Source organism: Homo sapiens, chromosome 14, assembly GCF_000001405.40.
Source record: "Homo sapiens chromosome 14, GRCh38.p14 Primary Assembly".
Lineage (NCBI taxonomy): Eukaryota > Metazoa > Chordata > Mammalia > Primates > Hominidae > Homo > Homo sapiens.
Window position 1 is genome coordinate 30,627,872 of NC_000014.9, and position 21,108 is coordinate 30,648,979.

Consider the following 21,108-nt stretch of genomic DNA (forward strand, 5'->3'; position numbering starts at 1 on the left):
AAAGACTTACCTTAATCTATGCTTTCAGCCAGACAGTACACAGGCAACAGCATCAGTATATTGAGGCCATTGCAAGTTCTTCCTGAACATTTCCCGCGATTTCATCTGTGGACAGATGCTTATTGTGTTTTGGGAAATCTCCCAAATACATGTCAATTAGCTGTCGATGGAATAGTCTTACAAGATCTGACCCCTAGTTCTACACATATAGTCATTTGGTTAATCAGTTTTACTAGAGTTGATTAGTTTATTTTGCTTTGGGGTAGTGAATGATGATGGAGGAAAAATAAAATCCTAAAAAACAATGACAATATTTGATAAAACTTTTTATTTTCAGTGGCTTTGAAGCGTATGTTGAATTTCAATGTGCCTCATATTAAAAACAGCACAGGAGAACCAGTATGGAAGGTAAGAGTTTATCTTAATGGGAACTGATTTCTGTTTTTCTCAGCCCTTATTGGTGGTAATTGGAGGGAATTTATTGTAATATGGAAGAAGTAACACATATTAGTTATCATGAATGTTTTATCCTTATTTAACATGATCTCTTAATATGAATTGTTTTGACAGACATTCTATGGAGTGAGACAAGTGATAAAATAGTAATTTTCATCTAGGGAGTCCAGTTGATCTCTTTGGTAGGATGTCACTGATAGGTCTTTTTCCTGGTTGATATTTTGTTCCTTAGCTTTTCAAGTCCAGACTTTGGATTTTATAAGCTTGCTCGGAGTTAGTCACATTCAGAGGGCCTGGATTATTTTAACAAACTCATGAGAAAATGATCTGTAAACTGTAATACCACTTTAATAATTTATGAGATATAAAACTTAATTGAACCAGAAAGCAATCTACAATCTTTTCCTTTGAGAAATACTGGAGAGCCTTTAAAAATTCCAATTCTTTAGGCTTCTTCATTTTAAACTTCATGCAGACTCTCTTTCTTCAGATGTTATAATACAGTTGATTGGGTTTAAACTTACTGGTTAACAGTCTCTTTATATTTCTCTCTTGCTAAAAATTAAGAACAAATCAACATGTTTAGAATTTAGGGTGTTTTGAAAACTCTCTTGAGTCTTTATAAGTCCTTTGGGTTAACTCTAAAAGTAGTTAAAGTTGTCTGTATTGATTTCATAGTTTAAGCTCCAGAGTATTCCCTAATTTTCTCCTTCTTGTTCCTTTGTGGGCATCTTCCTATTGCCTCTTGCATAAACTATACTTGCTTGTTTCTAAGACCAATATTGAGCTTTTGGTTGAAATAGTTTGAGAATTTCTTGGGTACAAATTTTTGTCAGATACTTTTCCTACCCATCACTTTTTATATCATTAAAATTAATAATACACATGTATTGAGATTAAAAGAGGGAAGATTTTTGAAAGATGCAACGTGAACCTTTTATAACTAGAGCAGAAAGATTTTTAGCCTCTTTAAAGGAAATCCTGGCATTTAAGAAAATGTGTTTTCATAACAACATGTTTCATTCTCTCATTAACAATTTCTTACTCCATAAATAATTATTGAGGTAGTTGTGAAAAATGCTTACCAGTTGAGGATCTCTTTTATTTGTCTTAACCGTGAAACTAATTTTGAGTTAAAAAGCCCATTTGGAGTTCTTACCACACCTCAAAGCTGTCTGTTTTAATACTTTGAGAATGTGAGGAAGTGTATTTGATAGACTAAGTCTATCAAATACTCTTTAGGGACTTAATTTTTTTTTTTTTTTTTTTGAGATGGAATCTCGCTTTGTCGCCAGGCTGGAATGTAGTGGCGCAATCTCAGCTCACTGCAGCCTCCGCCTCCCAAGTTCAAGTGATTCTCCTTCCTCAGCCTTCAGAGTAGCTGGGATTACAGGCACGTGCCACCACACCCAGCTAATTTTTGTATTTTTAGTAGAGAAAGGGTTTCACCATGTTGGCCAGGATGGTCTCTATCTCTTGACCTAGTGATCCGCCCACCTCGGCCTCCAAAAGTGCTGAGATTACAGGCGTGAGCCACTGTGCCACAGCCAGGGACTTAATTTTTTTTAATGAGTATCTTTTTAACCTGAGATGCTTAAAATACTAAATTTTTTATTGTGGTCCTGGAACTTGTTATATATTAGTTTTGAAAATGGCTAATTTTTACATCTCTGTTTTTAGAAAAGATATATGTGAACTGGAAAAAAAATAAGGGTATGAACGTGAATTGGCTTTAAGTTCAAAGTTTATGATAGCTTAAGGATTTTATAGTCTCTATTTTTTTAAAACCTAGAAAAAAGAATTTTATAAGAAGAAATTGATATAATTATTTATTTTAGCCTGAGTAGTAATGCTTTAAGAACGTATTACTGCCTGGATGGACATTTGGGTAAATAATGATGGAAAATATTAAATTGAGGCAAGGATAACAATTCAGTATATATGATGTATTAAAATTTACTTCAACATTGTCTTAATATAGGTTCACTATTGGTTGTTCACTGATAATGATGGAAAATGTTAAATTGAGGCAAGGATAACAATTCAGTATATATGATGTATTAAAATAAAATTTACTTCAACATTGTCTTAATATAGGTTCACTATTGGTTGTTCACTGATAATGATGACACATGGTTTTTTTTAATAGGTACTCATTTATGACAGATTTGGCCAAGATATAATCTCTCCTCTGCTATCTGTGAAGGAGCTAAGAGACATGGGAATCACTCTGCATCTGTGAGTTTTTACATATTTCTAATAGTGGTATTCATTTAAAGAACATTTATAGAGAAAAATAGTGTTAGGTTACAGTATTTATGTAGTATTGAACATTTTTTCCCTGTATCTTCTTTATTCAACCCCTTATTTCTGGGATTTAAAAAAATCCTCAGTCTGAGGCTTTATAATTTCAGAATTTAAATTTTCTGCCTTGTGGCTTTTCCTTAGATTTGGTTTACCCTCTATGTAAAGGAAAAGAACTAGTAATCTTAAGGTCTCTTCCAGCTCTAAAAGTGTTTTGTTCCTTTAATTTAAATACACAGATTCTCCTTGACCTACAATGGGGTTACATACTTATAAACCCATCATAAGTTGAAATTTTGTAAGTCAAAAAAATGCATTTAATACACCTAACCTACCAAACATCATAGCTTAGCCTCTCCTACCCTCAGCATGCTCAGAATACTTACATTGGCCTACAGTTGGGCAGAGTCAGATCTAACACATAGCCTCCTTTATAATAAAACCGGGCACGGTGGCTCACGCCTGTAATCCCAGTACTTTGGGAGGCCAAGGCGGGCAAATCACAAGGTCAGGAGTTCGAGACCAGCCTGGTCACGTGGTGAAACGCCATCTTCACTAAAAAAAATACAGAAAATTAGCCAGGCATGGTGGCAGGCACCTGTAATCCCAGCTACTTGAGGCTGAGGCAGGAGAATCACTTGAACCCGGGAGGCAGAGGTTGCAGTGAGCCGAGACTGTGCCACTGCACTCCAGCCTGGGCAAAAGAGCAAGACTCTGTCTCAAAATTTAAAAAAAATTAATTAATTAAAATAAAAATAAACTGTTGAATATCTCACGTAATTTATTGACTGCAGTGCTGAAAGTTGAAAACAGAATGTTTTTATAGGTGCTTAAAATATGATTTCTATTGAATATGCACTGCTTTTGCACCATCATAAAGTCAAAAAATCCTAAGTTGAACCATTGTAAGTCAGGGAGTGTCTATATTTTTTTAAAAAAAAGGAATATCTAATTAATCATTAATATGAAAAATTTAAGTGACTATGAAGTAATGACTGTTAATCACCATAGTGGGCTATCTGTGTTGTCTTAACTGTTAAGTTTGTGTGATTATATTGCTTCTGATATGTTTAATAAAAATAAAACAAATGCAGTACTTTATGGGCTTGCCTAGTAGAACATTTGGAGAAGGGGCCAGGCACAGTGGCTCATGCCAGTAATCCTAGCACTTCTGGAGGCCCGGGTGGGCGGATCACTTGAGGTCAGGAGTTCGAGACCAGCCTGGCCAACATGGTGAAACCCCGTCTCTACTAAAAGTACAAAAATTAGCTGGGCATGGTGGCGTACCCACCTGTAATCCTAGCTACTTGGGAGGCTGAGGAAGGACAATTGCTTGAACCCAGGAGGCAGAGGTTGTAGTGAACCGAGATCGTGACACTACACTCTGGCCTGGGCAGCAGAGCAAGATTCTGTTGAAAAAAAAAAAAAAAAAAAAAAAAAGAACGTTTGGAGAAGGACTGTGTTCATGGATAGATACTAATACTTCTGTATACTAAAAGAGTCCAATTTTATGGTGTTCTAAGCTATTTGCATTTTGTTCTATTTATGATGTTATAACCAATTTTTATGATATCATATATTGAATTGAAATGTACTCTTACTGGGAATATAGTTTTAGATTTTCGATAAGTAACTTGACAGAATCTGGTTTAATCAGCTCAAATTCTTCAGTTGTATAATGAGCATTTGTTAATAGACTGTTATAGTTTGTCAATTCCAAATGTCCTTTTTTACATTTCTGAAATTAGGATCTATCTTATCACTGATGATATGTCATAACTGGCAGCATTTTTATTTCTCAGTAGTATATAAAATATATTTTAAAAATTATGTTTTAAAATTGTTACCACCTTGGGTTTCATGAAATACGGTATTTGATGAGTTTTCCTTTCATTTTTATGTCAGACTGAAATAAGCAGGTTTGCTTTGATAATGTGTTAATTTTTATGGACTGAAGTAAAGTTTAACTTCATGCTATCCTTGGAAATTGTGGTTTATTAATAAACATTGAGTGCCATTGTCTCTGTACTAAGTGTTTAACTCCTTTATTTACTAATGGAAGGACTGAAGTTTAGAAGGCTTAAGTGATTGTCTCACATTTGTACAACCAGTTAATAACAGAGCCATGGCCACATTGCTTGACCACTAATTCTGTGCTGTTTATCTACTGAACTGTAATGGCTCAGTAACAGTAACTAACAGAAGTGAGGCCTTACTCAGTACTTCATTCAGGGGTAATAGGATAGTCTACCAGTTTGAGAGTCTCGTAATCTCTGCCTAACTTGCTACTTGCCACCAGAGCATGGAAATATTACACAGCTACCATGGTGAACTCTTGTGTACTTTGCCTCCAACCATTCTCCTCTATTTGCTGGAGAATACTGTATCAGTTACTTTATACCCTGCAAGCTGGTTTAGGCTAATTTGTAGGAAACAGTAATTACAAGTTTCCACAGTATGAAATGGTGGTTGTAGCCCATTAGACAGTTGGACAAGCAGTGTGAAAAAGACCACAACCTATGGCAGCCATCACATTATCATTCTTGATATCAGTGGCAACAGTTATTAAACACAGACTCACTGGCAGCATGTGCCTCTTTCCTCTCTCTCCTTGATTATAGAAGGATGACTAGAGAGAGGTGAATATTCCTCATATAAGCATGGTTTGATGTTGGGATATTTGTATGGAAATTGTTCCTAAATTGTAAAAGGAGAAAACTGTAAAATGACTTAATCTATAAGATGCTTACATTCTCTTATGAAACAATAAATAGACAAAAATAGATTGTCTTTAATTTTTAAGGAAACATTTATATACCTTTCATTTAAAAAATATATTTGATTTCATGTTTGGTTAAATTTTTTTATAGCTTCTAAAGAATTGCTTCTAAAATTTTTTTCATTGCGTCCCCTAGCTTTCTGATTTTCCCCTCAGAGAGCCACACTTTCCTCACATTCACCCTTCCCCTCTGACCACCACATTTCTATGAAAAGTGGGAATAAGATTGATTCTGAATATGTTTTAGTTCTCATTCAAGGAGAGTGTTGGTAGAAAAGAATGTCTGACCATAAGCAGTGCTAAAAGTGTGAGCAGAATAGAACAAATGAAGACTAACAAGAAATTAGGGTCTTACTAATGCTAATAAATAATAACAACACTGACATGGGAGAAAGATAGGTTAACTCACTGATTAATTGCAACAAGAGCTTTTAGAGCACTGGTTACTGTCCTTGAGCTAGTGAACTCCCATTTTGAGGAATATTGTTTTAAATAAGTGAATAAAAAAATAAGTTTTAGTTCCTTATGTCTTCTAGGCTTTTACACTCTGATCGAGATCCTATTCCAGATGTTCCTGCAGTATACTTTGTAATGCCAACTGAAGAAAATATTGACAGAATGTGCCAGGTAATATGGGTTCTTATTTTCTGGACTCCTGAATTTGGAAATGGATTTTTTTTTCAAGAAAAATTCCTAGATGTCCAGGGTGAAAAATCAGAAATTCCTATGCCTACTTTCTCACTCTGATTTTTGAGACTATCTTTGAATTCCAAATAGCCTGAAAGACTTAAAACTTTTGGCTGAAGAAGTATTATACAGTAGTCCTCTCATGTCCACAGTTTCACTTTCCACAGTTTCAGTTATCCACAGTTAACCAGGTACTGAATATATTACAGTATTTTGAGAGACCACATTCATATAACTTTCATTACAGAATATATTTTCTGTAATATATTTCATTACAGAATATATTTTATAATTGCTCTATTTTATTTCTAGCTATTGTTGCTAATCATTTACCGTGCCCAATTTATAAATTATAAATTAAGTTTTATCATAAATATGTATGTATAGGAAAAAACATATACGGTTCAGTACTACCTGGTTTCAGGCATCCACTGGAGTCTTGGAAAATAACCCCTGCAAATAAGGGCAACCACTGTACTGGTAAAGTCTGAGTCTGGCTTTAACAAACAGAAAGCCTAGGTATATTGCCTTTCTAACTTATATAGGGTTTTCCTTTTCTAAAATAAGGGTGAGATTAGGAAGTCCACACTGGTGCAGAAGTACTATAAGGTAATCAAAGACCCAGGCTCCTTCTGTCGCTGATCATTCGTCTTTAGTTTGTTGGTTTTCCTTGTCTTGCTTGTCGCTGCGCCTGTAGGCATCAAATCTATGTTCACATCAACAAGAAGAGGGACATGGACTGTGCCAGCCCTGACTGTTGATTTTGATCAGGAATTTAAGCCTTTCCAGAAACTCCCAGAAGACCTTTATTTATTTCTCACTAGGTAGAATCAGTTACAAGGGTGGCTGCAAAAGTCAATATTTAGATGAGTCACCCCAAAGAAAATCTAGCAAGATTCTTTTAGCAAGGAAAAGGAGAAAAGTAGATATTGGATAGGTAAGTAACAGTGTCTTCCACAAGTCACAACATCTTTGTTATTGACTGTTGAATCAAATTGCTATTTAAATTGTTAGTGACGTTTGCAAATTTTGTGTCCTGTGTAGCTTTATGATGCCCAGCTTTCTCTTTTACCCTGCGTAAACTCAAGTATGCTATTCATGAAAGAGGTACCACTTGCAATCTCTTCTTCTTTCATTATTTAAATAACACCTTTATTGAAATTATAATTTACATACCATACAATTCACACATTTAAGGAGCACAAGTGTATGGTTCATTGGTTTTTAATATAGTCACAGAGTTTTGCAACCATCACCACAGTCAATTTTAGAACATTGTCATTACCTCAAAAAGAAACCTGGTACCATTTATCACATCCTCAACCCTCCCCCATCCTCTTCCATCCCTAAGCTACCTTCTGTTTCTGTATATTTGCCTACTCTGACCATTACATATGAATGAAATCCTATAATATGTGGTCTTTTGTATATGGCTGATTTCTCTTAGCATAATGTTTCCAAGGTTCATCCATATTGTAGCATGAATTGGTACCTTATTCCTTTTCGTGGCTGAATATATTCCATTGTATGGATGTACGAAATTTTATTCATCCTTTTACCACTTGATGGACATTTGGATTGTTTCTACCTTTTGGCTATTAATAATGTTGCCATAAATATTCATGTGCAGGTTTCTCTGTGGACATGTTTTCAATTCTCTTGTGGCCGTAAACACATAGGAATAAAATTGCATGGTCAAATGATAACTCTATGTTTACCTTTTTAGTAATAGACTGTTTTGCGAAGTGTGGTTGCACCATTTTATATTCCCACCAGTAGTGTGTGAGGGTTCTGATTTCTCCAGATCCTTGCTGAACACTTACTATCCGATATTTTTATTGTAGCCATCCTAATAGGTTTGAAGTGGCATCTCATTATAGTTTTGATTTGCATTTCTGTAATTAATGATATTAAGCATCTTTTAACATGCTTATTGGCCATTTGTATGTCTTTCTAGAAATATCTATTCAGATCATTCACCCAGTTTTTAATTGGGTTGTCTTTTTATTGTTGAGTTGATAGAATTCTTTTTCTGTTTTGGATACTAGACACTCACAAGTTTATGATTTGTAAATATTTTCTCCCAGTCTATGGGTTATCTTTTCATTCTCTGGATAATGTCCTTTGAAGCACAAACATTTTTGATTTTGATGAAGCCCAGTTTATCGGTTTTTTTTTTTCTTGAGTTGCTTATGCTTTTGGTGTCATATTTAGGAAACCATTCCAGATTCTTGTGTTTTCTTCTAAGAATTTTATAGTTTTGGCTCTTACCTGTAGGTCTTGATTCCCCTTTGCATTATTTTTATATATGGTGGGATGTAGGTGTCCAACTTTATTCTTTTGCATGTGGCTATCCAGTTGTCCCAGCGTAATTTATTAAAGAGACTATTCTTTCCCTAGTGAATGGTCTTGGCAGCCTTGTCAAAAATCAGCTGACCACAGATATCTTGTTTGATTTCTGAACTCTCAGTTCTATTGCATTGATATCTATGTCTTTCCTTATGCCTGTACCACACAGTGTTGATATCTCTTGCTTGATAGCAAGTTTTGAAATTGAGAAATTGTGTCCTCCAACTTTGTACTTTTTTTCAGACTGTTTTGGCTTTTCTTGAATTTCCAAATTACGATTAGCTTGTCATAAGTTTTGTGCTTCTTTTGTTAAATTTATTCTTTCATGTGTTTAATGCTTATTATGAATGGAATTCTTAATTCCATTTTTAGGATTCTTCATTGCAATTGTATAAAAATTCAATTGATTTTTATGTATTTATCTTGTATCCTGCAACCTTGCTGAACTTATATGTCCTTTTGAAATGTATGCATCATTCTTTGACCACTTCCTTACTTTCTGGCACAATAAGATGTTCCAATATAGCCTAGGATTTTACTTTCTCTGTCTCAGCCCAGGATTCAGACATTTTTCTGAGGAGCTCTGGTTGCTTTCTGTAAAGAATGGTATTTAGGAATCAGGATCTAGGCATTAGGTATATTCATTGTGACTAGAGTGTCACTGTTCTTAGGTCCTCTCAATGGAAAAAGTTAGGAAATTATGTATTTATACATACACTTTTATATCTGTATTTATTTCTACAATTCTCCCTCTCTTCCCCTCACCTATCCAGATAAACAGATAACCTCCAAAACTGTTTCAGCTCAGCAACACAGGATTCACTCTAGCGTTTCCCTTTTCTCTTTACAAATTTGTAACTCCTTTCTCAGAGTGAAAAACATGGTTCCCAGTATCGTGAACATATTACTTATTTCTCAATCCTCATACATAAATAATTTCTTGACCTTGATTGAACCACTACCCTGATCACCTTCCTCACAAAGGCTCCAACCCCTCAATGTTTCACATTTTAACATCGCTAAAATCAGGTGCATCTTAAAATTGATCATGCCACAAAATTTTATTGGCATCATTAATTCTTAGTGTTACATAAAATGATGGTTCTTGTTACAGTCAATGACATCTTAGATTTAAGGAAGTATGGTTATTTCGATATCTATTTGCTAAAAGTATAAGAAGATAAGTAAATTTGACTTAAGAATTTGCATAACTTAAATTGCACTACTTTTGAGCAGTTGAAAAGAAATACCTCTAGAATTGGTAATTGGATTTATAACTTGTCTGTGTGCAATGAAGGATTTGTTGTGTCATCACATGTCCAGAACAGTTGAAGATCGTGTCTGCCAAATATAACAAGCATTTTACTATATTAGTGGACCATATCTGGATATTTTAAGAAGAATGCAGATAGGCTGTATGAAAGCAGTTTGTACTGTATTGTAATTAATGAGATTTTGTTGATAATATAATTTTATTACTTTATTAAGAAACATTTTAGTTACATCTGATAACCAGATAACCAGTACTACTTCAAAGGTTTTTTCTCTTGGGATACTTTTTTTGATTGTCATTTAAATATCCTGTCTTTTAAATATAACTTTGCCTTATAGTAGTTGAAACATATGTATTCATGGTCTTCTTTATCCTATAAGAATAAAGTTTTCATTGTATTGATAGGATCTTCGAAATCAACTATATGAATCATATTATTTAAATTTTATTTCTGCTATTTCAAGAAGTAAACTGGAAGATATTGCAAATGCAGCGTTAGCAGCTAGTGCAGTAACACAAGTAGCCAAGGTAAGAGAGTTTGGTGGGTTGATGACATTTTGTCAATGTAAAATTTAACACTGTTCTGAAACCCGTAGTTGGCATAGATATCTATTTGACAGATGACCAGAACAACAGAATTGTTTAGGCTCAATACTTTTATAAAGAGTTCTGATAATATAAATTATATTCAAGTTGAACTAGGCAAAATAAGCCAAACTAAAGGAACCTATTATTTAATGAATTTGAAAGACAGAAATAAAAAGCAGAATGAGTTTTGCTTTAGTCTGTGATTTGTATAATATTTTTAGGTCAACTCAGAAATCATTTGACAGTTGTATTGTCATAAACTGTATTGAAAGTATGTTGACATTGTTTTATCTGTAATCATTATAATCATCATACTATTTCCAGATATTTTTTTTACTTAGGAAAGAGGATCCAAAGTGCCCGTGTTGCATATTGAGATCCAAAGTGCCTCTGTTGCATATTAAGAGAAAAAGAACCCATGACAGGCCTGCAATTCTACATCATAGTGACTTTTTAGTCAGGTTCAGCTTCAGTTATAAATCAATTTGTAAAATATATTTCAGGTTATAATCCTGTAATGCTCTGTGTTTCTTGAATTTGGACAAGATATGCATTAAAGTTCCAGACAACTATCTAGGACAAATAAAAGACTAAACAACCATGCATATACTTTCTATTCTTTTTCTACTGATAGATTTTTCATTGTTAGAGTTAAATAGACCACTAATATTTCTGATTAGTTTTTGAGGCTTATGCCTTTAATCTTTGTGCTCAAAATTTATTAACTTCACATAAAATAATGGGAACAACTTTTGTTTTCCTTCTTGTTTTGTTTTGAGACAGTGTCTCGCTCGCCCAGGCTGGAATGCAGTGGTGCAATCACTGCTTGCTGCAATCTTCAGCTCCTGGGCTCGTACCACCCCACCCAGCTAATTTTTTTAATATGTTGCCCAGGTCTCAAACTTCTGGCCTCAAACAGTCCTCCCACCTCAGCCTCCCAAAGCTCTGGGATTACAGGTGCAAGCCACCTCACTCAGCCTTAATTTGGTTAACTAAATTCAGTGTATTTCAAATAGTTCTCTTAATTTTTCTCCTACTCTGCACTTCCAAAGAACTGGCATAACTTTTTCCCACTTTATTAGAAAAGTTCTTGGTGTAAAACAATTACTGTGACTTTTTTAGGAAAATGTGATGAAAATGATTGTTAAAATTGTATGTTTTCTTCAAAATTGATATCCATTCCCATCACAACCACAATTTAAGTTCTTGTATCTGCTTAAATTTTGTTTTCTGAAAATGTTATTCTCCTCCTTCATATTTATTGCCCAAAGACTTGTTTTTATTGCCTTAACTTACTCTTTACTCCTCATTCTTGTTCAATTAGGCTGTTACACAGTACAATTTTTAGTTATTGAATGTAATTAGGATTTTTTTTCATTTCTACCATTGGTAGGTTAGAGCAAACTAAATTTACTTTCAATATGGCTATATTGTAAGATTGATTTGTAAACCTTTTCTTTTGTTTCTAGGTTTTTGACCAATATCTCAATTTTATTACTTTGGAAGATGATATGTTTGTATTATGTAATCAAAATAAGGAGCTTGTTTCATATCGTGGTATGTAAAAATAGAAATGTTGCAATTCTTTGTTAACAAAATGAATGGTATACTGTAAGAAAAAAAGTGAATATGTTTAATGGACTTCAAAACCAGCTTGTTTACAGCAGTAGAGCTATAGAAGCTTTTTAAAAGCACACAGAGAAAACAAGGCTCAGACTGAATTTTATTACATTTAAACGTTTAATAAACCTGTTTTGTAAATTCAAAGAAGTACCAATTCTCTGACCTTTTCTATACCCCCACAGCAACTTGCATGAATGGTTCACTCATGGCAAGTAAGACAATATTTTAGTAGCAGATTTCAAATTTATCATCTAGTACTTTGATCTTGGACAAGAACAAGTTAGCTTGCTTCTCTGTGCTTATAAAACACTGGAACCAGATGATAAGCTCCCTGAGAGAAGAGAATGAATCTTTTGGTTTCATTGAGCTCTAGAGCATCTGTTCTTGTGGAAATTCCTAAGAGGATATAAGTATTTGCTCAATTGTTCATGTGAGAGATTTTTGACAACGGTTATTATTCACAGAAATCTATTTACAGTTGCATTTTAAATGAATTAGCAACTTATTTAAGTTACATATTTTAAAACCTAGTTTTCCTTAAGCCTTTAAATTGAATATGAATTGTGTTATATTGTTTATAAATCTGGTAAAGTAAAAACAAGCATCTTTACTTTATTCTTGATGGATTAACTCATATTGAACAGATTAAATTCTCCTAATCAGTCCCCTTTAACAAGTTTAATCAGAAAAATTGGTGTGTTGAATTCCCTTAAACATTTTAAATTTTATTAATAAATTCAGAATATTAAGTGGTTTTTTTTTAGGTACTGTACTTCATATACCAGACCAGACAAGTTTATAATTCTAACAAGCAAAATCTGCCCAAGTGTTTAAATAATTCTGTAAAAATAATTAAATTTGTAATGAGTGTAAAATTTGCTAAATATTCGTATACTTATAAGTTTAATTACATTTTTATACCTGCCAGCTTTTTTGAAAGATCACATGTTTGAGATTAATTACAAATTTCAAAGTGTAATCACATGGCTAATCACCCAGATTCTTAATAATGATAATAGTAATAGCTTGCTCTATGCCAATCAGTGTTTTAAGCATGTTACAATATGAGCTAATTTACTCCTCAGAATAACTTTATGAAGTAGAAATTATTTCCATTTTCAAGATGAGAAAACAGACATAGCTGTAAGTAACTTGATGAGGAAATGGTAGAGCCAGCTTACTAAACACAGGCAGTCTCACTCCAGAGATAACATTCTTTATCATTATGTAATCATATACCTAATTGTCTCAAATGGTACAATGCTTTAAAAATTTTAAACAAATATTCCTAAATATGATTATATTAATAGCGTGGTATTGATTTGCAAATATTTTTCATTCTAAACTTTCCATGGATTGGGAGCAAGGAGATTTATTATCTCAGTCAAACTAAGGCTGCTATCTTAGACAAAGCAACTGTTATCTCAAGTTGAGGTTATTGATTAGCAGTTTATGACTGTTAGGTCATAAACATAAAAGTTAGGGTTACTTTTCATTGAGAGATGTGGAACTAGGATATAGGACTCAAGGGCTGGATGCTTCCATGTAGATTTTTCTAGTGCCAGTAATTAACAAAAATGTACAAGTGATTTAACTAAAAGGTTTGAAGTGTCTACAGATCACTTGTGCCACTGATTAATGAAATGAATTGGGTATGTTTCCTTGAATTGATATCCCCTGAATTCACATAATGCAAATTGTATTCTTTATGATATTGATTTCTTCTGATTGAAATAGATGGTATTTGCAACACCTGAGTAATGGCCCATTTCCTTCTTTTAGATTCTGTGTTGCCTGATTGAATTATTTTATTATGTGTTGTCTGGGTGGGCCACGCTTTCTGTAGATACTTGGAGATATCCAGTTGAATTCTGCTTTCCTCTTATAGTAACCACAAGTGGTATTAAATTTTATATGTGTTTTCACTTTCAGGATATTGGGACATTAAAAATACTTTGTAGATAATAGTTTAGACACTAATCTTTCAACATATAGTTATTGATGTACTTCATCAGACACTGGGCCTTGATATTGTGAGAGGAAGATAAGTAAGTCAAGGTCTTTGTCAAAGACAGTCTACTCAACAATGTTTCTTAAAGTGTAGCCCCAAGGCCTATTTGCATTAGAATTGCCTGAGGTGCTTGTCAAAATTATAGGTTGTTCCCCCGCCACCCCGAGACAGAGTCTCTCTCTGTCGCCCAGGCTGGAGTGCAGTGGTATGATCTCAGCTCACTGCAACCTCTGTCTCCCAGTTTCAAGCAATCCTCCTGCCTCAGCCTCCCAAGTAGCTGGGATTACAGGTGTGTGCCACCACACCTGGCTAATTTTTGTATTTTTAGTAGAGACGGGGTTTCACCGTGTTAGCCAGGCTAGTAGTCTCAAACTCCTAACCTTAGGTGATCTGCCCCCTCAGCCTCCCAGAGTGCTGGGATTACAGGTGTGAGCTACCACACCCAGCCTCAAAATTATAGGTTTTTTAGAATTATTCATATCCATACAGAATCCCTAAAGGAAAGGGATAAGAATCTTTAATTTTTAAAAACGTCCAGAGAATTTTTCCCCATATTCCCTGGGTGATTCTTATACTCAGTAAAGTTTGGGAACTACTTATATACACTCTTGTAGATTAGAAGAGAAATTTATATAACTTAATATAAAGAAAATGATATGCAATGTTGGTTGTGCTGTAATTTATTTGCATTTCCTTTTCTGGCTGTAGTTGGGTAACAGAATCAGTAGTTTCTTGAGGCCATCTAGTGTTTATGAATAAAACTATGGAATATGATATTTATTTTCCTTTTTGTCAAAAATTTTGTAAGTTTACATCGTGGGGTTGTTTTTCTTAGTAGTAGTCTCCTAATGTCTGATATTAAGGTAGTTTGTTGTGGTTATTTATTTTTCTCTTTGAGGTGGTATAATTTTTAACAGATATTTATTCATTTAAAAGAAGTTTAAAGCAGGCAGGGTGTGGTGGCTCATGCCTATAATTCCAGCCCTTTGGGAGGCCAAGGTAGGAGGATCGCTTGAGCCCAGGAGTTCAAGACCAGCCTGGGCAACATAGGGAGACCCATCTCTACAAAAAAAATTGTTTAATTAGCCGGGCGTGGTGGCATGTGCCTGTGGTCCCAGCTATTCTGAAGGCTGAGATGGGAGGATCACTTGAGCCCAGGAGGTTGAGGCTGCAGTAAGCCGTGATCATGTCTCTGCACTCCCTCCTGGGTGACAGAGCAAGATCCTGTCTGAAAAAAAAAAATTTAAACCAAAAAATTTCACTTGCTGAGTTTTATTATATGTCAATTAAGAATTTAGTAATAATTTTAGGAGTTTTAGAAAGATGAGGCATAAGTTTGGGTCAACTTTTTCTCCTTTTCCTATGTCATTTTAGCCATTAACAGGCCAGATATCACAGACACGGAAATGGAAACTGTTATGGACACTATAGTTGACAGCCTCTTCTGCTTTTTTGTTACTCTGGGTAAGTTTTCCAGTCTTTCTGGTTATTCTTCAAAGTAAATTATTTAACAAGTAATTTTAATGTATTACACTGTAATGTGATTCGTTCTCACTTACCTGGATCTCTAGAGGTTCTCGAGTGGAGTAAAATATATATTCAATAGTATATAAAAACAATTCTTCCAATAACTTGATGTGGTTCTCTTAACATTTAACAGATCTATTGAGTTGTCATTTTAGATGTCTTTGGTAGTTATAATTTTCTACCATATTATTTGAATGGCTTGGTGGTGACTTCACCTATGTGCCTGTTAATTTTCTTTTAATATTTCATTATGAAAAATTTCAAACACATTTCTAAATAGAGAAATAAATGTTTGGTAACTATTAAGTTCAGATGCCCAAGGCTCCAGAAAACATTATGTATGTAATACTAATCTACCTATACCTTCAAATTTTATTTTTAATTTTTTTTTATTTTCAACTTTTATTTTAGGTTTGGGGGATACATGTGCAAGTTTGTTACATGGGTAAATTGCGTGTCACTGGGGTTTGGTGTACAAATGAATTCGTCACCCAGGCCATGGGCATGGTACCTGATAGGGAGTTTTTTGACCCTCATCCTCTATGCTCAGGTAGACCCCAATATCTATTATTCTCATCTTTGTGTCTTTTCTTTTTGTTTAGCTCCCACTTACAAGTGAGAACATAGGGTGTTTTGTTTTCTGTTTCTGTTAATTCCCTTAGAATAATGACCTCCAGCTATATCTATGTTGCTGCAAAGCATATGATTTCACTCTTTTTTTATGGCTCTATAAGTATTCCATGATGTATGTGTATCACAAATTGTTTATCCAGTCCACCCTTGATAGGCATCTAGGTTGATTCCATGTCTTTGCTATTGTGAATATTACAGCAATGAACATATGGGTAGATGTGTCTTTTTCGTAGAATGAGTTATATTCTTTTGGCTGTATACCCAGTAATGGGATTGCTGAGTCGGATGGTAGTTCTGTTTTAAGTTCTTTGAGAAGCCTCCAAATTGCTTTCCACAGTGGCTGAACTAATTTACATTCCTACCAACAGCGTATAAGTGTTCCCTTTCCTCTGCAACCTCGCCAACATCTGTTATTTTTTGACTTTTTAATAATAGACATTCTGACTGGTGTGAGATGGTATCTCATTGTGGTTTTGATTTGCATTTCTCTAATGATTAGTGATGTTGAGCATTTTTTCATATGCTTGCTGGCCACGTATGTCCTTTTGTTTTTCTTGAGAAGTGTCTGTTCATGTCCTTTGCCCATTTTTAATGGGGTTGTTTTTGCTTGTCGATTTGTTTAAGTTCCTTATAAATTCTGTTGGATGCATAGTTTGCGAATATTTTTTCCCATTCTGTAGGTTGTCCATTCACTTTGCTGATAGTTTGTTTTGCTGTGCAGAAGCTCTTTAGTTTAATTAGGTCCAATTTGTCTGTTTTTGTTTTTCTGGTGGTTGTTTTTGGAGACTTCAGCATGAAATCTTTGCCAAGGCCTGTGTTCAGAATGTTGTCTAGGTTTTCTTCTAGGATTTTTATAGTTTGAGGTCTTACATTTAAGTCTTTAATCCATTTTGAGTTTATTTTTGTATATGGTGAAAGGAAGGGGTTCAGTTTTAATCTCCTGCGTATAGCTAGCCAGTTATCCCAGCACCACTTACTGAATAGGGAGTTCTTTCCCTATTGCTTGTTATTATCAACATTGTCGAAGATCAGATGGTTGTAGGTATGTGGCTTTATTTCTGGGTTCTCTAACCTGTTCCATTGGTCCATGTGTCTGTTTTTGTACCATGCTGTTTTGGTTACTACCGTAAAAGCCGTGTAGTAGTATACTTCGAAGTCAGGTTGTGTAATGCTCCCAGCTTTGTTATTTTTGCTTAGATTTGCTTTGGCTATTCAGGCTCTTTTTTGGTTCTGTATGACTTTTAGAAAAGTTTTTTCTAATTCTGTGAAAACTGGCATTGGTAGTTTGGTAGGAATAGCACTGAATTTGTAAATTGCTTTGGCAGTGTGGCCATTTTAATATTGAGTCTTCTTATCCATGAACATGGAACGTTTTTCCATTTGTTTGTGTCATCTCTGATTTCTTTTCGTTTCGTAATTCTTGTTGTAGAGCTCTCTCACCTCCCTAATTAGCTGTATTCCTAGGTATTTTCTTCTTTTTGTGGCTATTGTGAATGGGATTGCATTTTTGATTTGGCTCTCAGCTTGGATATTATTGGTGTATAGAAATGCTGCTGGTTTTTGTACATTGACTTTTGCATCCTGAAACTTTACTGAAGCTGCTTATTAGTTCTGGGAGCCTTTGGGCAGAGAGTATGGAATTTGTGAGGTATAAGATCATATAACCTGCAAAGAGATAGTATGACTTCCTCTCTTCCTATTAGGATGCCTTTTATTTCTTTCTCTTGCCTGATTGCTTTGGCTACGACTTCCAGTACTATGTTAAATGGGAATGGGTGTCCTTGTCTTATTCAAGTTCTCAGGGGGAATGCGTACAGCTTTTGCCCATTTATTATGACATTGGCTGTGTGTTTGTCATAGATTACTCTTATTATTTTGAGGTATGTTTCTTCATTGCCTAATTTGTTGAGGGTTTTTTTGTGTGTTTTTTTTTGTTTTTGTTTTAGATGAAGTCTTGCTCTGTCACTAGGCTGGAGTGCAGTGGCACAACCTCAGCTCACTGCAACCTCCACCTCCTGGATTCAAGCAATTCTGCCTCAGCCTCCCGAGTAGCTGGGACTACAGGCACATGCCACCACGCCCAGCTAATTTTTCTATTTTTACTAGAGATGGGGTTTCACCATGTTGGTCAGGATGGTCTCAATCTCTTGACCTCGTGATCCACCTGCCTCGGCCTCCCAAAGTGCTGGAATTACAGGCGTGAGCCACCACGCCCAGCTGAGGGTTTTTTAAATGAAGTGATGGTGAATTTTTTCAAAAGCCTTTTCTGTGTCTGTTGAGATGATCATATGGTTTTTGTTTTTAGTTCTTTTTATGTAATGAATCACATTTTCTGATTTGCATGTGTTGAATCAACCTTGCATCCTGGGAATAAAGCATACTTGATCGTGGTGGATTCATTTTTTTGGATTCAGTTTGTTAATATTCTGTTGAAGATTTTTGCACCTGTATTCATCAGGGGTATCAGACTGAAGTTTTATTTTTTTGTTGTGTCTCTGCTAGGTTTTGGTATGAGAATGATACTGGCCTCATTGAATGAGATAGGGAAGAGTCCCTCCTCCTCAATTTTTTGGAATAATATTAGTAGTATTGGTGCCAGCTCTTCTTTGTATATCTGTTAGAATTTGGCTGTGAATCCATCTGGTCCAGGGCTTTTTCTGGTTCATAGATTTTTTATTACTGATTCAGTTTTGGAATTTGTTATTCCAGAACTTCAGTTTCTTCCTTGTTAAACCTTGGCAGGTTCTATGTTTCCAGAAATTTACTCATTTCTGTTAGGTTTTCTAGTTTGTGTTCATAGGGGTGTTTGTAATAGTCTCTGACGGTTTTTTATATTTCTGTGGGGTCGATGATAATGTTACCCTTGTCATTTCTCATTGTGTTTATTTGGATCGTCTCTTTTTTTCTTTGTTGACCTAACTAGTGGTCTACCTATCTTGTTTATTCTTTCAAAGAAACAACTTCTGGTTTCCTTGATTCAAAATGTAAAGCACTGATGTAGATTGTCTAAAATTTTGTTTAGTATCTAATATGTGACTTTGTGCTTTACTATCACTAATGGATCAGTTTAAAAGCCTAATTGCAATTTTAATTTTTTAGACACTTAAAACCTTTTTGTTAAAATGATTCTCACACTAGATTAATAAAATATGTCACACAAAAAAATTAAGAACTACCATGTATAGTCTTAAGATTTAGACAAATGTTTAGACATGTAGAGAATTTATATGCAAATTGTATGGCTCCCTCCTTTCAGGGATTTTTTTTTTCCCTTAATTTCCAGCCCTGAGCTCCAATTTTTGATTCTTCAGCTCAGTAATTTTCCTGTTTTCTGCTTGAGTTCTTTCTCCTGTGTGCCATGTAATGTGTCAGGTACCCTCAGGAGAAAAGCTGGTTAAAAATATATATTACCTTATGTGATTCTCTTCTTTCAAGAGTTAACCCCTCCAGTTTCTGCCTGCTTTGAACTGCTTTCATTGCCCTCATATGGTTTGTTGTTGTTGTTGTTTTATATATAAAGAAAGTACACGTATACAACTTTTAGTGTTAAACAGACATAATTTTCTTTCTATTTTGTCACCCCACACGGTCTGTAAAATTTTGCCAAATGCTAGGGAGGTTGCACTGCAACCTCTGCCTCCCAGGTTCAAGCGATTCTCCTGCCTCAGCCTCCTGAGTAGCTGGGATTATAGGCATGCTCTACCACGCCTGGCTAATTTTTGTATTTTTAGCAGAGACGGGGTTTCACCATGTTGGCCAGGCTGGTCTCGAACTCCTGACCTCAGGTGATCCGCCCGCCTCAGCCTCCCAAAGTGCTGGGATTACAGGCATGAGCCACCATGCCCGGCCAGTGATTTATTTTTCAAAGGAGAAATTGAAATTATTGCCAATCTGACATAGAAGGATGTCAACACTAAATTGTTACATGGGGAAAAACAAGTTTTAGAACAGTATATATACTATCGTATTTTTGTTTTTTTACATATACACACAGACTTAGTAGATTATATGTAGAAAACAACATGGAGGCATCCATTTCTAATTCTAATGGGGGTTGTGAGGGCTGGAATCAAGAGGGTTACGTTTATACATTTCTAATGTTAATTTAAATTTTTTATTACAAACATTTATAACTTTTGCCATCAAAAGAAAACACAGTTTTGAAAAATTTGCTATTTTGTGTTTTTACTTTTGCAATTGACTGAGTATATTCATATTTCCTATAGAATCTAAAATGTGACAGTTTGAGCATATAAATATTACAGTGTTCTCAGTTTGTCTTATGAGACTTTCAGTGCAGTTGGACTTTTTTTCTATTTAGGATTTCAACCTATATGAATAATGTGTTTTCTATTATTTAAATTGGTATTTTTAAAAAACTACAATTTTTTATTGTCAATTTGTAAAATAAACAAAAACTAGCAGTCCCCAAACTGCTGAATTAGCTAAGCTCTTTTCATTCTTTTCTTTTAAGTCAAATTAATGTGAAACCTGTGAGTAGAGTAAGCTTATGTATTGAAACTGCCTAGACCAGGTGCAGAGGCTCACACTTGTTATCCCAGCACTTTAGGTGGTTGAGGTAGCAGGATCACTTGAGCTCAGACCAGCCTGGACAGCATAGTGAAACTTTGTCTACAACCTTTCGAGTAGCTGGGAACACAGGCACACACCACCATGCCCAGCAAATTTTTTGCAATTTTTGTAGAGACAGAGTTTTGCCAAATTAGCCAGGCTTGGTGGCCTGTGCCTGCGGTCCCAGCTACTCAGGAGGCTGAGGTGGGAGGATGGTTTGAGCCCAGCAGGTCAAGGCTAGCCATGACTGCACCACTACACTCCAGCCTCCTAGCCTGGGTGACAGAGTGACACCCCGTCTCAAAA

At 35.0% G+C, this 21,108-nt stretch overlaps 1 protein-coding gene across 14 annotated transcripts in view; it reads left to right on the plus strand.

The window, feature by feature from the left end:
- The window catches only part of SCFD1 (sec1 family domain containing 1), a 113,597-nt gene that overhangs the window by 5,618 nt on the left and 86,871 nt on the right, over window positions 1–21,108 (plus strand). For 8 of the 14 annotated variants that reach the window (XR_007063993.1, XR_007063994.1, XR_007063995.1 and 5 more), the window contains exons 2-7: window positions 338–408; window positions 2,606–2,694; window positions 6,076–6,166; window positions 10,254–10,376; window positions 11,906–11,993; window positions 15,445–15,534. Coding sequence is in view for 10 of the 14 variants with exons in the window: in XM_047431165.1 (XP_047287121.1) it covers window positions 338–408; window positions 2,606–2,694; window positions 6,076–6,166; window positions 10,254–10,376; window positions 11,906–11,993; window positions 15,445–15,534 (552 nt within the window). In the remaining 4 variants the exon portion in view is untranslated. The remainder of the gene's footprint in view (window positions 1–337; window positions 409–2,605; window positions 2,695–6,075; window positions 6,167–10,253; window positions 10,377–11,905; window positions 11,994–15,444; window positions 15,535–21,108) is intronic. The other 6 variants (NM_182835.2, XM_047431166.1, NM_001283031.1 and 3 more) reach the window with 5 other exon arrangements.